At 42.2% G+C, this 15,350-nt stretch overlaps 1 protein-coding gene across 5 annotated transcripts in view, besides 2 other annotated features; it reads left to right on the forward strand.

Annotated features, from left to right (window-relative positions):
• Positions 4,640-4,699: an enhancer, noted in NCBI's record as "active region_6769". NCBI's record gives its function as "activates an Ori minimal core promoter by ATAC-STARR-seq in GM12878 lymphoblastoid cells {active_cell/tissue: GM12878}" and the evidence as "EXISTENCE:reporter gene assay evidence [ECO:0000049][PMID:35858748]".
• Positions 4,760-5,029: an enhancer, noted in NCBI's record as "active region_6770". NCBI's record gives its function as "activates an Ori minimal core promoter by ATAC-STARR-seq in GM12878 lymphoblastoid cells {active_cell/tissue: GM12878}" and the evidence as "EXISTENCE:reporter gene assay evidence [ECO:0000049][PMID:35858748]".
• The window catches only part of MRPL42 (mitochondrial ribosomal protein L42), a 48,701-nt gene continuing 38,158 nt past the window's right edge, over positions 4,808-15,350 (forward strand). Inside the window, exons 1-4 of one of the 5 annotated variants that reach the window (NR_038159.2) lie at positions 4,808-4,848; positions 6,483-6,649; positions 7,780-7,799; positions 14,248-14,311. Coding sequence is in view for 2 of the 5 variants with exons in the window: in NM_172177.5 (NP_751917.1) it covers positions 6,580-6,649; positions 14,248-14,311 (134 nt within the window). In the remaining 3 variants the exon portion in view is untranslated. Of the gene's footprint in view, positions 4,849-6,482; positions 6,650-7,779; positions 7,885-14,247; positions 14,312-15,350 lie in introns of all 5 variants that reach the window. The other 4 variants (NR_038161.2, NR_038160.2, NM_172177.5 and 1 more) reach the window with 4 other exon arrangements.

Below are 15,350 nucleotides of genomic sequence, written 5' to 3' on the forward strand. Positions count from 1 at the left end.
TCAAGCCTGTAATCCCAATTACTCAGGAGGATGAGGCAGAAGGATTGCCTGAGGCCAGGAGTTTGAGACCAACCTGGGCACTATAGCAAGACCCTGTCTCAAAGAAAAAAAAGAAAAGAAATGTAAAGTGAAAAGTTATATATCAAAATGTTAGCAGTGATTATCTCTTGGGTTTTGTTTTTAAAATCTGCATTCATTTTTTTAAAATATGTTTTATTTGTTGTTGAGATGGGATCTTGCTGTGTTGCTCAGGCTGGTTTTGAACTCATTGGCTCAGTCAATCCTCCTCACTCAGTCTCTTGAGTAGCCGGGATTACAGGTGCACTCCACAGCACCTAGTCTAATCTATATTTTGTATTTTGAAATAAGCATGGCTCAGCCTAGCACAGTGGTTAAGTTCACGAGCACTGGTAATAGTAGTTCCTGGGTTCAAAGCACAGTAACTTGTGTGACTTTGAACAAGTTGTTCAAACCTCTCTGTGCCTCTGTTACTTCTGTTTGTAAAATGACAGTAACAATAATTGTTTAAGTGTTTAGAAAGTTCATTCCTTTTTTTTTTTTTTTTCTTGAGACAGAGTTTTACTCTGTCGCCCAGGCTGGAGTGCAGTGGTGTGATCTCGGTTCACTGCAACCTCTGCCTCCCAGGTACAAGTGATTCTTCTGCCTCAGCCTACTGAGTAGCTGGAATTACAGGCGTGTGCCACCACGCCCGGCTAATTTTTGTATTTTTAGTAGAGACGGGGTTTCACCATGTTGGTCAGGCTGGTCTGGAACTCCTGACCTTGTGATCCGCCTGCCTTGGCCTCCCAAAGTGTTGAGATTATAGGTGTGAGCCACTGTGCCCAGCCAGAAAGATCATTCCTAATAGTTTGGTCATAAGATTGCTCTGGAGTCTTTGCTCTCTGATTGATACAAAGAATGACTTTTTTTTCTGGGAAGTTACAGAAGAAAAGGCAATCCTCTTTTAAATGGAAGCCATTTGATGCCAATTCCAAAGTTCTAGAATTTTGTCTGTTTGTCATTTTACTAGCATGAATTTAAAGCATTTGTAGCTGAGCACAGTGGCTCATGCCTATAATCCCAGCACTTTGGGAGGGTGAAGTGTGCGGATCACTTGAGGTGGGCGGATCACTTGAGGTCAGGAGATCGAGACCAGTCTGGCCAACATGGTGAAACTCCGTCTCTACTAAAAATACAAAAATTAGCTGCGCATTGTGGTGGGCACCTGTAATCCCAGCTACTCAGGAGGCTGAGGCAGGAGAATCACTCGTACCCAGGAGGTGGAGGTTGCAGTGAGCCGAGATCACATCACTGTACTCCAGCCTGGGTGACAGAGCAAGACTCCGTCTTAAAAAAATAAATAAATAAAATAAAATAAAGCACTTTTATGTAGGCCAATATAAGTTATTTGCTGGTATTTCAAGTTTGTATTTTTGGAAATTATACTTTTTAAGTTGCTAGCACTGACCTCTTAAGTTAGGAACACTTTGTGACATGGCCTCTCTTAACTACTCTTACATCACAGTATTTGTTTTCCTTCTACCTTTCTCACTGCCACTCCTGGGAGGCCCTTGCTAAAGGTTATCCTCCTCCATCTGATTTCTAAGCCTTCGAATTCCCTGGGGCCAGCTTCTAGGCCCTTTATCTTTTTTTTTCTATACCTAGTCCAACCTCTACTCTCCAAACACACCTCTTCAAGTACCTGCCTTTTGTTTTTTGTTTTTTTGGAGATGGGGCTCTCACTCTGTTACTCAGGCTGGAGTGCAGTGGCATGACCATAGCTCACTGCAGCCTCAACCTCCAGGGCTCAAACGATCCTCCTACCTCAGCCTCCTTAGTAGCTGGGATCACAGGTGTGCATCATCAACCTTACTAATTCTGTTTATTTTTTGTAGAGACAAGGCCTCACTCACTATATTGCCCAGGCTGCTGACTTGTTTTGTATCTCCACTGGAGTGTCTCAGAGCCATCTCAAACTCAACAACTCCCAAACGGAAGTATGCATTTCCACCATCATCAGACTCCCCAAACCTGTTCCTCTTTCAGTCTTCCTTGTCTTATGAAGGGCACCACTGTCAACTAGTCATCAAAGCATCACCTGAAGTATCTTCCTCCCTCTCAATCAATCCATCAGCAAGTTAAGTCATCACTTCCAATTTCAAAATACATCTGGACTCTTCCTGTCTCTCCATCTCCACTGCCACCACCCTCCATCACATGATTTCTTGACTGCAGTACTGCAGTAGCTTCCTTGCTAGACTTGCCTGCGGTCTTGCCACTCTCCAAACCACTCCTCCCAGGGCAGCCAGAGTAACCTTTTAAAAATGGAAATCAAATTATGTCACTTCTTTCATGTAAAAATCTCAAGAGACAGGGCTCACTCTGTCACCCAGGCTGGAGTGCACGGCACGATCATAGCTTACTACCGCCTTGACCTCCTGGGCTCAAGCAATCCTCCCACTTCAGCCTCCCATTCCCAGGGTAACTAGGACTACAGGCACACAGCACCACCTACTCTATTTAATCTCTACATATGTCCTGTGTCCTAACTCCATGTTAACCCCTCCAAGGCTTATGAAGCCCAACATGACCTGGCTCCAAATCTCATCTCCTGCCGCTCTCATCCACACTATCCACCCTACTCCAGTATATGGTAAGCTATTTCCACCACATTAAACCTTTGTGTAAGTTGTTCCCTCACTCAGCCTAAACCTGTCTCTCCCCTCTCTTCCCCCAAAAATGTTGGTTTCTTTTCTGGTCTCAGCTTTGTGAGACCTTCCTTGGTCCCACTAAGTGAGTCTCCCTGTTGGGGACTGGTCCCACTCTGCTCACAGCCATCAAGACTTGACCTCTGGAATTATCTTTGATCCATTCTTCTTACACTTTACGCAGGGAATGTTCAACCAGTCCAGTTGACTGCTCATTCAAATCTGTTTCTCCTCTCTGTCCCTTCCTATTGCACAGTCCAGAAAGACATCATGGGTGGCTTTGGAGGATGGACACGACTGGAAAGGACACAGATGGGCCCTCTGTGGGCTTCTATAAGAGCAAAGATTAGCCTCCTGATATTCCGTGGGAAATGAGGAGACACACTACACAGCCCGTATTTAGTTTTCTTTACTATGTGATGTGTGTTCACTTACTTTCAATACTAGTCACTTCAGGAATATGGTTCTTAACTTGTTGAGGGGTTTATCAATTCCCTGGAATACATAATAAAAGCTATAGATTATTTCTTAGAAAAATATACAAAAGCAAAATTTTGCAAATCATGGGAGAAGGGAATTTCCAGGCGACCGCTTCTGCTTTACCAGCCAATCATCTACTGTCTTGGATACTTGCAGCGTTATCTAGTCTTTTCATTCATTCAGCAAACACTTCCTGGAGACCTATAATGAGACCAAGCACAGTCTGAGATGCTGGGTTTGCATACAGTGAAGAACAAGATAGACATATGTCTCTGTCTTCAAGGAGCTTACATTATCCAGCATAAGAGACATTAAACGAGGTTGGGTGTGGTGGCTCACGCCTGTAATCCAGCCCTTTGAGAGGCCGAGGTGGGCATATCACCTGAGGTAAGGAGTTCGAGATCAGCCGGGCAAACATGGCGAAACCCCATCTCTACTAAAAATACAGAAATTAGCTGGGCGTGGTGGTGGCCACCTGTAATCCCAGCTAATTAGGAAGCTGAGGCAGGAGAATCGCTTGAAGCTGAGAGGCGGAGGTTGCAGTGAGCTGAGATCATGCCACTGCACTCCGGCCTGGGCGATAGAGCAAGACTCCGTCTCAAAAAAAAAAAAAAAAAGAAAGAGACATTCAACGAGCAAACAAATAATCAATATAAAGTCAGGTAATGGTAAATATTCTGAAGGAAAATAAAGCGGGGCATGGAATAAGGGTGGGTGAGGCTATTTTAATGGTGTGGTCCTTTCTAAGATGATATTTGAGAAAGACCTGTAAGGTCATGAGAAGAGGTCAGAGAAGCACATTGCTGGCAATGGGAACAGAGAGTGCAAAGGCCCAGAGGTCTTTCCTTCCTCCTAAGATGGAAAGCGAGGTCCAAGATTCTGCATATTTACTTCCTCCCATAATAGGTAGCCAGCACAGTTCTGAGGGCACAGTGCCAGGTTTTCAGAGTGGAGGTTCTCTTCAGGTTCTGATTTCAAACGTCCAAATCCTAGCCTCCACATTTCAGGGCTTCTCTGGAATGTCTCTTCCCCTGGGAAACTTTAACTCATCTACTAAAGAGCAATCTACGATTTCTCTGAATATTAACATAATTTTTTTAAAAAGTACTTATAGGTTTGCATGGTGGCTCATGCCTGTAATTCCAGCACTTTGGGACGCCGAGGCAGGAGGATTGCTTGAGACAAGCCTGGGCAACATACCGAGACCTCGTCTCTACAAAAATATTAAAAAATTAGCTGGGTGTGGTGGTGTGCGCCTGTAGTACCAGCTACTCAGGAGGCTGAGGTGGGAGGCTCTCTTGGGCCCAGGAGGTAGAGGCTGCAGTGAGCCGTGAGGGAGCCATTGCACTCCAGTCTGGGTGACAGAATGAGACTGCCTCACAAAAAAAAAAAAAAAAAAAAGCTTGTTACTTTCTAAGGGTATGTGTTTGGGGCAGTGATTTTGTTTTTCTGGGCACCTTAGTAACACTGCGGCCACGCTTCCCCAACTAAAGGTAAAAGTCCATAGCAACAATCCTCCCTTTCTCTCTGCACCCGGGCCGCTTTCCCGCGGAGACTACATTTCCCAGAATGCCCCGCGGGCTGGGACGGCGCGCGCAGCGCTGTTTCGTGGGACCAGGATTGAAACAAGATGGCGGGTTCGTGGTGAGAAGCCGTCAAGGTAACCGCTTCCCTCTACTCCTCCTGTCGAGGACTTCCTCGAAACTGGGCAGTCCCACAGTGTTGGTCGGCAGTTGTAGAGGTCTCCCGCCTGTCGTTCCCGGCAGGGCGAGGTTGCCTGCATCCCCAGCCTTTGTCCTTCCTGCAGAAGAGCCGGCATGTGGCTGCGCGTTTCTTATAGCGCCCCCTTTGTTCCCTGGCGGACGCCCGTGGGGAGGTGATGCAGCTTGTGGCTCTAGGGACTCCTTTAGGTCGAAGAGTTCTGGTGCTCTTGGTAGCCTGTTCCTCAAACCTCTGACCCTCAGAGGCTCTGTAGCTTTTGTTTTGGGGTTGAATTCCGGGCTGAGGGACTTGATCTCTGAAATGATCTTCCTGGGGTGAATAATCTGACTCCCAGCAGGGCGTGCTTTTCTCTGGGCTTCGGACAGAGGGGACCTAATTTCCCCCAAGATGTTTTATTCGTGGTCAGAAGTCATGGGTTTACGTCCCACGCATGTATTAAGCAGCGATATACTGAGCAAGTAATCGATTGACCTCTCTGAGCCTTTGTTCTTAATCTGAAATGGAGATGCTGCTTCACACACTTGTGAAAGTCAGAGCACATATTGTATATGAAAGTGGGTTGTAAACTAAAAAGCACACCTATGAGCTCAGGGTTAACGGTGTTAATGTACTGGCAGTGCAAGGTATCAGTGTGAGTGGTTTAGACTAGCAAATAAGAGGGCCTGTGTCCTAATTCTCTTTTATCACTATTGGGGGGAAGGGCACGGATACTCATTGAAGACTATTAAAAACAAGATTTAACAATGGTTATTTGTCATTTATTCACAACAGGCCATGAAGATTGTGGTTTTCCCCATTTTGTCATTGGAGAAACTGAGGATCGTTTAGTTAATGACTTGTTTAAAGTTTCCCAATTTGGCAGTGACTGACTCTAAAGTCCTTGGAAGCAAGACGTTTAAATTTTGTACTTTAGTTTCTTCATGAATCAGAATAAAGATACCTCACATGATTAATACGAGAGCAAAATGAAATGGTGGTGAAAGTACGTTGGAAAGTTAAAGACTTTGTACACATATAAGATGGTGAAATTTTATCTGGGACTTGAGGGCATTTATGAGTTCCTCCAATTGAGTAATAGGCTAAGGATAGGCCTTGTTTGATATTTCTTTATTATTATTATTATTATTAATGGCTCAGGGCAGACAACTATTTCATTTAATCAGAAACAGGATAGTACTGTAAATGATGTAGTATCTTGTGTATGGAACCTTGGAGGGTGTACACAGCCACACTAGCATTAAAAGAATGAATACTCTGTGTACCATTTGTGAGTGACTGTTTCAAGAGTAATTACACATTTACTGAGTATTCATTAAGTGGAAGGAGCTGCACTGGGTCCTGCAGAGAAGTTTGTATCTAAGATAAATAGTAATGGACATAGTTCCAGTGGTTCTGATCTTATATTCTGTCCATGTCGCTCTTCGTCCTGTTGTTCAATCATGTGGAATTGCCAAGTTGTTTAAAAGCATTGCTTCAGTTGACTTCTAGGCAGTGATTCTTACCTTGTTCTTGTGGTGTTTAATATAACTTAAATTTACCATAGGTAGCACTGATTTTTCTTTATCTCTTCAGCAGGAGTAGAAATTGGTATGCTTAGAAGCAGATTCTAAAAGCAGTTTCTCTTCAGAACATCTTTTTTCATACCACTTGATAAGCATCTTGAAACACCATGGCTGTAGCTGCAGTAAAATGGGTGATGTCAAAGAGAACTATCTTGAAACATTTATTTCCAGTCCAAAGTAAGTGAAATTTTTTTTAATGTTTAAAAACTTTTAAACTTTTAAGAATTAAGAAAATTTAAAGCATTTAGTTATTGTATATGCCTGTAATTTGCAGGAGTGTTTGCAGCAATGGAAAGTGGGAGAAAACCTAAATGTCAGTCAGAAGGGGAATGGATAGGTCAGATGTGGTGTCTCATGCCTGTAATCCCAGCACTTTGGGAGGCTGAGGTGGGAGGATTGCTTGAGGCCAGGGGTTTGAGACCAGCCTGGGCAACATAGCAAGACCCCCACCTCTAAAAAAAAATGTGGGTTGGGGAGGGGAATGGATAAATTATGGTACATCTGAACTGTGACTGTCATGTAGCTGTTACTGACATGGAAAGATCTCCAAATAGAAACAAAAAAAGCATGTCAGAACCACATCTATATATATCTATCATATGATCTTATTTGTATGTTTAAAAGATGATCCATCATATGCATGTGTGCATATGCATAAATGCAGAGGTAAAAGGTCTGGACCAAACAGTGGTTATCTGTGTAGCCCACTCTTGGGATTTGGCTGAGGGCAGGAGTAAGGGACTGGTCAAGGGTAACTTTCTCTTGTTCGATTACATGTATTACTTTTTTAGTATTTCTCTCTTTTTTTTTTTTTTAACGGAGTCTGGCTCTGTCGCCCAGGCTGGAGTGCAGTGGCGTGATTACTTTTTTAGTATTTCTTAAAATGTGCGAATAAAGGGTAAATTCACAGTCCCATCTTCCAAAGATAATCATTGTTAATATTTTGGTGGATTGTCATTGTGTTTTTTCTATGTACCTAGCCATTTTTAAAAAAATGAAATGTAATTTCTGCCTTTCTTTTCTAAAGAACTGTATATAGTTAGTATTTTCTCGAAAGCTTGTTAATACATGTTTGACAGTCAAAGCATGGACCCAAATAAGTAAATAGAGTATTAAAGTCTTTTTTCTCAGCCAACTGTGCTTTCTTTTTCCTTTTCCTGTCTGTAAACAGAGTTTATAGCTCTTATAAACAGCTCTTATAGGAAGCTTTCCATTTCTAAAGTAGACATGTATAGAAGGCAACAGTAGGTTTGCCTTTTTATATTAAACTATGTGAGCCAACTTTTTATTTTTATTTTTTATTTTAGATTCGGGCGTACATGTGCAGGTTTGTTACGTGGATGTATTACATATACTGAGGTTTGGGCTTCAACTGAACCCGTCACCCAAATAGTGAACATAGTACCCAATAGGTAGTTTTTCAACTCTTCCCTCCATCCCTCCATTCTGTTTTGAGTCCCCAGTGTTTATTGTTCCCATCTTTGTGTCCATATGTACCCAATGTTTACCTCCTACTTGTAAGTTAGAACATGTAGTATTTGGCTGTTTTTGCATTAATTCACTTAGGATAATGGCCTCCAGCTGCATCTGTGTTGCTGTAAAGGACATGATTTTATTTGTTTTAATGTCTGTGTAATAATCCATGGTATGCATATACACCACATATTCTTCCAGTCCACCATTGATGGGCTTGTTTCCATGTCTTCGCTATTGTGAATAGTGCTCTGATAAACATGCAAGTGCAGCTGACTTTTTAAATACAACTCTGCTTGACCTTGACCTTTGTCTCTTCTTTCTTATTTCCTATTTACCACCATTTGTAATTGAAAGTTTGCTTATTGAATTAGGGAGAAAAGAGCTATTTGAAGAATGGAGTATAAGTAAAGTAATAAATAGGCAATTTGTTATGCTTGAGACGAGGAAAATATTTTACTCAGTAAACACCTTTGTTGAATAGAATGCTCAAAAGTTTGCCAGATCCTACTCTATTTTATTTTATTTTATTTTTTGAGACTGGATCTTGCTCCCAGGCTGGAGTGCAGAGGCATGATCTTGGCACACTGCAACTTCTGCCTCCCAGGTTCAAGTGATTCTCCTGCCTCAGCCTCCCGAGTAGCTGGGATTATAGGCACCTACCACCAGGCCTGGTTAATATTTGTATTTTTAGTAGAGGTAAAGTTTCACCATGTTGGCCAGGCTGGTCTCGAACTCCCAACCTTAAATGATCCTCCTGCCTTGGCCTCCCGAAGTGCTGAGATTACAGGTGTGAGCCATTGCGCCTGGCCTAATTTTTGTATTTTTAGCAGGGGAGGGGTTTCACCATGTTGGCCAAAACTGGTCTCAAACTCCTGACCTCAAGTGATCTGCCCACCTCAGCCTCCGAGAGTGCTGGGATTATAGGCATGAGCCACCGCACCTGGCCACCAAATCCTGCTCTTATAGGAAGCTTTCCATCCCTGCTTCCTTGCTTGCCCCACTCTCCCATTTTTTAGGGCCCTAAACATAGAAACATTTATTACATTATATTCAAAGTAAAATCAACTTAGAATTCAGTAAATAGAACAGGACATTGCTTAAGAGACTTTGGATATAAACCAAAATAAGTCACAACAAAACTGCAATCAGCTTTTGATTATCTAGGAGCATTTTTGTTGTTGAGAATTGGGAGAAAGACCCTTACTCTTACTTCTTAGATTCCTCTTTGCCTTGCAGGAACCCAGCTCCTAGGCTAATGAGAAGTCACATCCAATCAGTTTTTACATAGACTATGTTTTGAAACAATTAGTCCTCACACAGGCCCATCAGAAAACCAGTTAATGTGTCCCTGAATAATTGAAAATTATTTATATATCTTTTTCCCCACTGGATTTCCCACTAAGTTTGTACTGGATCTAATTCATTTTGGTGTCCCTGGGGCCTCTCATTCATGATAGGAGATCTATCAGTGTTTGTTCAAGTAATCTGAATGGTTTAGAGTTAACTCTCAAAATATCTAGTTAACTAAGAATTAGGTTACCCTAGAAAATCATTCCATTATCAGTTATCCTAATACTCAGTGACCTAACTTCTTATATCCGAAAAGTCCCTTATACTGCAAAGTTCCTGTTGCTACTATTATTGAAAGTAAAGGGCTGGGCAGGGTGGCTCACACCTGTAATACCAGCACTTTGGCAGGCTGAAGCAGGCTCTGAAGTTTGAGACCAGGCTGGGCAACATAGGAAACCTCATTTCTACAAAAGTTACAAAAATTAGCTGGGCGAGGTGGTACACGCCTGTGGTCCCAGGAGGGAGCCAGCTTACTCAGGAGGCTGAGGTAGGAAGATTGCTTGAGCCCAGGAGTTCGAGGCTGTGATTGTGCCATTGTACTCCAGCCTGGGAGACAGAGTGAGACCCTGTCTCAAAAATAAAAAATTAAAATTAAAGAAAGTTTCATTACTGTTATTATTGATGTTTAATAAAAAAGGGAAGGACAGTAAGATTGGAGGCAAAGCGAAATCATGATTAAGGAAGAAAGTTCAGTGAGCAAAAATAAAAAGCCTTCCTTATATTCTAGAAGGAATATTTTAAAATTTCCCAAATGGTCAGTCAGCCCGGGAGTGTAGAACACTTCACAGTTTTCAAAGCATGTTAAGCCATTTGATCCTTATAACAGCTTTGATTTTGGTAGCCCATGTAGTATTATCCTCTTTATGAAGGTAAAGAAACTTGAGTTCTGTGGCCCTCATAAGTTCACCCAGGGTCACATATTTGGTAAACAAAAACTGTGACCAAAATCTGGATCTCCCACCTTACTTTGTCCTGTATACTTTCTACTGTACTTCCTTTTCTGTAGCAAGGTAAAATACTGAGCATTTGAAGATGGGACAACTTTTAGCTTTCATAGCTCTTTCAAAATGCAATTAAATATATATATGTAACAAGAATAACTCATAAATTACAGAAATTATTGTTAATTGAAATTCTTTTGGCACATTGAGCTTAATTGCTGTTAACTTTGGCATTGGTCCTAATTATATATTTAGAGCTTCTGCTACTTCTATATCCAGAATTACTTCCATTGGTAAAATATCAGGTAATGAATGTTTCCTTATTTTTTTTTCAAGGTGAAGTCTCACTCTGTTGCCCAGGCTGGAGTGCAGTGGTGCAGTCTTGGCCCACTGCAGCTTCGACCTCCCTGGGCTCAGGTGATCCTGCTATCTCAGTCTCCCAAGTAAGCAAGACTACAGATGTGTACTACCATGTCTGGTTATTTATTTATTTATTTATTTTTGAGATGGAGTTTCACTCTTGTTGCCCAGGCTGGAGTGCAATGGCATGATCTTGGCCCACTGCAACCTCCGCCTCCCAGATTCAAGTGATTTTCCTGCCTCAGCCTCCCAAGTAGCTGGGATTATAGGCATGTACCACCATGCCCGGCTAATTTTGTATTTTTAGTAGAGATGGGGTTCCACCATGTTGATCAGGCTGGTCTCGATCTCCTGACCTCAGGTGATCTACCCACCTCAGCCTCCCAAAGTGCTGGGATTACAGACGTGAGCCACTACGCTTGGCCTATGTTTTGTATTTCTTTGTAGAGATGGAGTTTTGCCATGTTGCCCAGGCTGGTCTTGAACTCCTGGGTTCAAGTGATCCACCTGCCTCAGCCTCCCAAAGTTCTGGTATTACAGGCGTGAGCCACCATGCCCAGTCCTTATGAATTTTTCAAACATCAGTTATGCAGAAACATTTGAGAGGCAGTTCGGCAATCACTTTTTAATGTGTAGGCACTATAGGGGACACAGTAATGAACAAGGTACAGTTCCTGGCCTTAAGGAACTTATTTAGACTTGTAGGTGAAACAGACATCTAGCAACACTAAGAATGCCCAGAATATGAGGCAGAATGTGATAAGTGTGTCATGAGGGCACAAACAAATGTCTGTGTAAACACAGAGTAGAAATTTTACTGAGTTTCTTGTTAACTAAAATACTGTTGTCTTGAGTTTTCTTGTCTGCATATTTCAGAACACTTAATTCTGTCACCCAGTCATGTTTCTTTCAGTGAAAATGTATATCATCTAGTTGGTTTATATTCAGAGATACAAAATTGTTTTTTTTTAATTTATATTTTTTATTATTAATTTTTTTTTAATAGAGATGGGGTCTCACTATATGACCCAACTATGTTGCCCAGGCTGGTCTTGAACTGCTGGATCAAGCGATCCTGCTGCCTTGGCCTCGCAAAGCGCTGAGATTACAGGAGTGAGCCACCACACCCCACCAGTTTTAATTTTTTTAGAAACGATTTTGCTCTGTTGCCCAGGCTAGAATTCAGTGGCACAATCATAGTTCATTGCAGCCTCACCCTCCTAGGTTCAAGTGATCCTTCAGCTTCAGCCACCTGAGTAGCTGGGATTATAGGTGCATGCCACCATGCCCAGTTAATTTTTAAAAATAGTTTTTAAAGATAATATCTCACTGTGTTGCCCAGGCTGGTCTCAAACTCCTGGCCTTGAGCAGTGTTGGCCTCCCAAAGTGTTGAGATTACAGGCGTGAGCTACCATGCCTAGCTTTATAAACTTCTTTTAATATTAACCCAATCCATGCATAATTAGGAAGGTCCCAGTGATGTCAAACAAGAAAATAAAATATGGCCAGGTGCAGTGGCTCACACTGGTAATCCCAGCACTTTGGGAGGCCAAGGCGGGCTGGGCTGATCACCCAAGGTCAGGAGTTCAGGACCAGCCTGGCCAATATAGTGAAACCCTGTCTCTACCAAAAATACAAAAATTAGCCGGACATGGTGGGCGCCTGTAATCTCAGCTACTCGAGGGACTGAGGTAGGAGAATTGCTTGAACATGGGAGGCGGAGGTTGCAATGAGCTGAGATAGACAACTCTTTCTTCTGTGAAGAACCTTGGGGGCAGGGAGAGTAAAAAGGATTTCATGGAAGAAGAGTGTTTGACCTTTTTTTTTTTGAGATGAAGTCTCACTCTCGCCCAGGCTGGAGTGCAATGGCACGATCTTGTCTCACGGCAACTTCTGCCTCCCGGGTTCAAGTGATTCTCCTGTCTTAGCCTCCCGAGTAGCTGGGATTACAGGCATGCACCACCACACCCGGCTAATTTTTTGTATTTTTAATAGAGAGGGGGTTTCACCATGTTGGCCAGGCTGGTCTTGAACTCCTGACCTCAAGTGATCCACCTGCCCTGGCCTCCCAAAGTGCTGGGATTACAGGCATGAGCCACTGCGCCTGGCGAATATTTGACTTTTAAGGATGAGGGGTATTTGAACAAAATGGGGCTGGAATTCCATACTGAGGACATGGTAAAGGCATGGAGATAGGGAAGGCAGGATAGGTTACAGTTCTATATCACAGGAACAAGAGGCTCTGTTGAGACTTTGATTCTTGGCATTGACCAAGGTGCATTCAAAACTTGCTTTTAACTATATTGAGCTACTTTTAAATTTTTTTCTTTATATTAAAAGAATACCCTTTTTTGAACATAGGAGAATCTTTCACAAGCTTTTAAAAAAGCAGTTTATAGCTGAGCACGGTGGCTCACACCTGTAATCCCAGCACTTTGGGAGGCCGAGGCAGGTGGATCACGAGGTCAGGAGATCGAGACCATCCTGGCTAACACGGCGAACCCCGTCTCTACTAAAAATACAAAAAAATTAGCCAGGCGTGGTGGGGGCCTGTAGTCCCAGCTACTTGGGAGGCTGAGGCAGGAGAATGGCGTGAACCTGGGAGGCGGAGCTTGCAGTGAGCAGAGATCGCACCACTGCACTCCAGCCTGGGAGACAGAGCAAGACTCCGTCTCAAAAACAAAACAAAACAACAACAACAAAAAAAGAAAAACAATTTTGGCTCTTGAATTTGCAGGTATTCTAAAAAAGGAAAATATGCTTTAAAATGTAAGCATTTTGATTAAGAAAAGTTAATTTTAAACAAATCATTTCATATTTCATCACTTCACCACCACCACCCCCCCTTTATAAACTATGCACCTTGGAAAACCCAAATACTTTATTTTTATTTATTTTTTTGAGACAGAGTTTCGCTCTTGCACAGGCTGGAGTGCAATAGCATGATCTCAGCTCACTGCAAACTCCGCCTCCTGGGTTCGAGCAATTCTCCTGCCTCAGTCTCCCGAGTAGCTGACCACGCCTGGCTAATTTTGTATTTTTAGTAGAGACAAAGTTTCACCATGTTAGTCAGGCTGGTCTCGAACTCCTTGACCTCAGGTGATCTGCCCACCTTGGCCTCCCAAAGTGTTGGGATTACAGGCGTGAGCCACTGTGCCTGGCCCCAGATACTTCAAGTTCTTTCTTGGAAAGGCTGGAGTACCCAAACACTTTTATTTTTTTTCTTACCTGGAGTCCTTGCGCCTTTTACTCACTCTGCTAGAAACATTGTTTTCATCTCTTATCAATCCTTACTTATTTTCTCATTCTTCAGAGCACCTTGGACATCATCTCCACTGAAAAGGCTTTCTTGAACCTGCACAATTTGTTTGGTAGCCTTTCTGTGTGGCCCATCTTTGCCAATGTTTACCATTCCTAACAGTGCTTATCCTCTATGTTGTAATTGTTTGTCTGTCTCTCTCACAAGCAGACTATACCCTTTTGAGGGTAGGGACTGAGTCTTGTTTGTTGTTGAATCCCTAGCCCCTAGCACAGGCCTGTTTCATACTAAACAGTAATGTTGGTTGAATGAGTAAAACTAGCTTTAAATTTATGGAGAAAATATGCTCAAATTAACCAAATCTGTTTTACTGTTTGGGGTTTTTGCAGATGGAGCTTTATATTGTGTTTGTCATAAATCTACGTATTCTCCTCTACCAGATGACTATAATTGGTATGTATTAAAATTCAATTGAAGAAATAATAGTCTTAGCTATAGCTGAAATGATTTAATTTTATTTCTTGTTTTGATGTCTGATGCTTTCTTTTCTCATTATTCTTTCCTTAATTTTGTTTTTAAAAATTATTTTAATGATTTTATTTACCCAGTATCTGGGCTTATAAACATTTTAAATAAAAATCATTGTCATTGTGTTTCATTGAATATTTAATTTGTTATAAGACAGACATGCTGTTTAGAACTGCTATCTTTTCTTCCTGAAGCATGCTTTAGCTTTTTGGAAAAGTTAATTAGTTTTTATAGGGTTCATATCTATTAGCTTAAGCCATTATTATCTTTTCTTTTGTTTGATATTGAATAATCCTAAATTATACATACTTAATTTAGCCACCATTTATTTGGTACTTATTCAATTTAGTCACTATGATAAGAACTAGGAATAACATATGACATTGTCTTTTTTCTCTGCAGCAGAGTCTGATATGCAGAAACTGCAACCTATTTTCTTAATCTATGTTGTTTTTATTACAAATTATAATAAAAATATTTTTTCTTCTCTCTTGACACTAGTTTTATTTTTATTTTGTTTTCGAGATGGGGTCTTGTTCTCTCGCTCAGGCTGGAGAGCAGTGGTGTGATCTTGGCTCACTGCAACCTGAGATGGGGTCTTGTTCTGTCACCCAGGCTGGAGAGCAGTGGTGTGATCTTGGCTCACTGCAACCTCCACCTCCTGTGTTCAGGAGATTCTCCAGCCTCAGCCTCCTGAGTAGCTGAGACTACAGGCGCATGCCACCATGCCTGGCTAATTTTTGTATTTTTAGTAGAGATGGGGTTTCACCATGTTAGCCAGGCTGGTCTCAAACTCCTGACCTCAGGTAATCTGCCCACCTGGGCCTCCCAAAATGCTGGAATTACAGGCATGAGGCACTGCACCTGACCTTTTATTTTTGTGAGACAGAGACTCACTTTGTCACCCAGGCTGGAATGCAGTGGCACAATCTCAGCTCACTGCAGCCTCAACTTCTGAGGTTCA

The sequence above is a fragment of the Homo sapiens genome, chromosome 12, assembly GCF_000001405.40.
Source record: "Homo sapiens chromosome 12, GRCh38.p14 Primary Assembly".
Classification (NCBI taxonomy): Eukaryota; Metazoa; Chordata; class Mammalia; order Primates; family Hominidae; genus Homo; species Homo sapiens.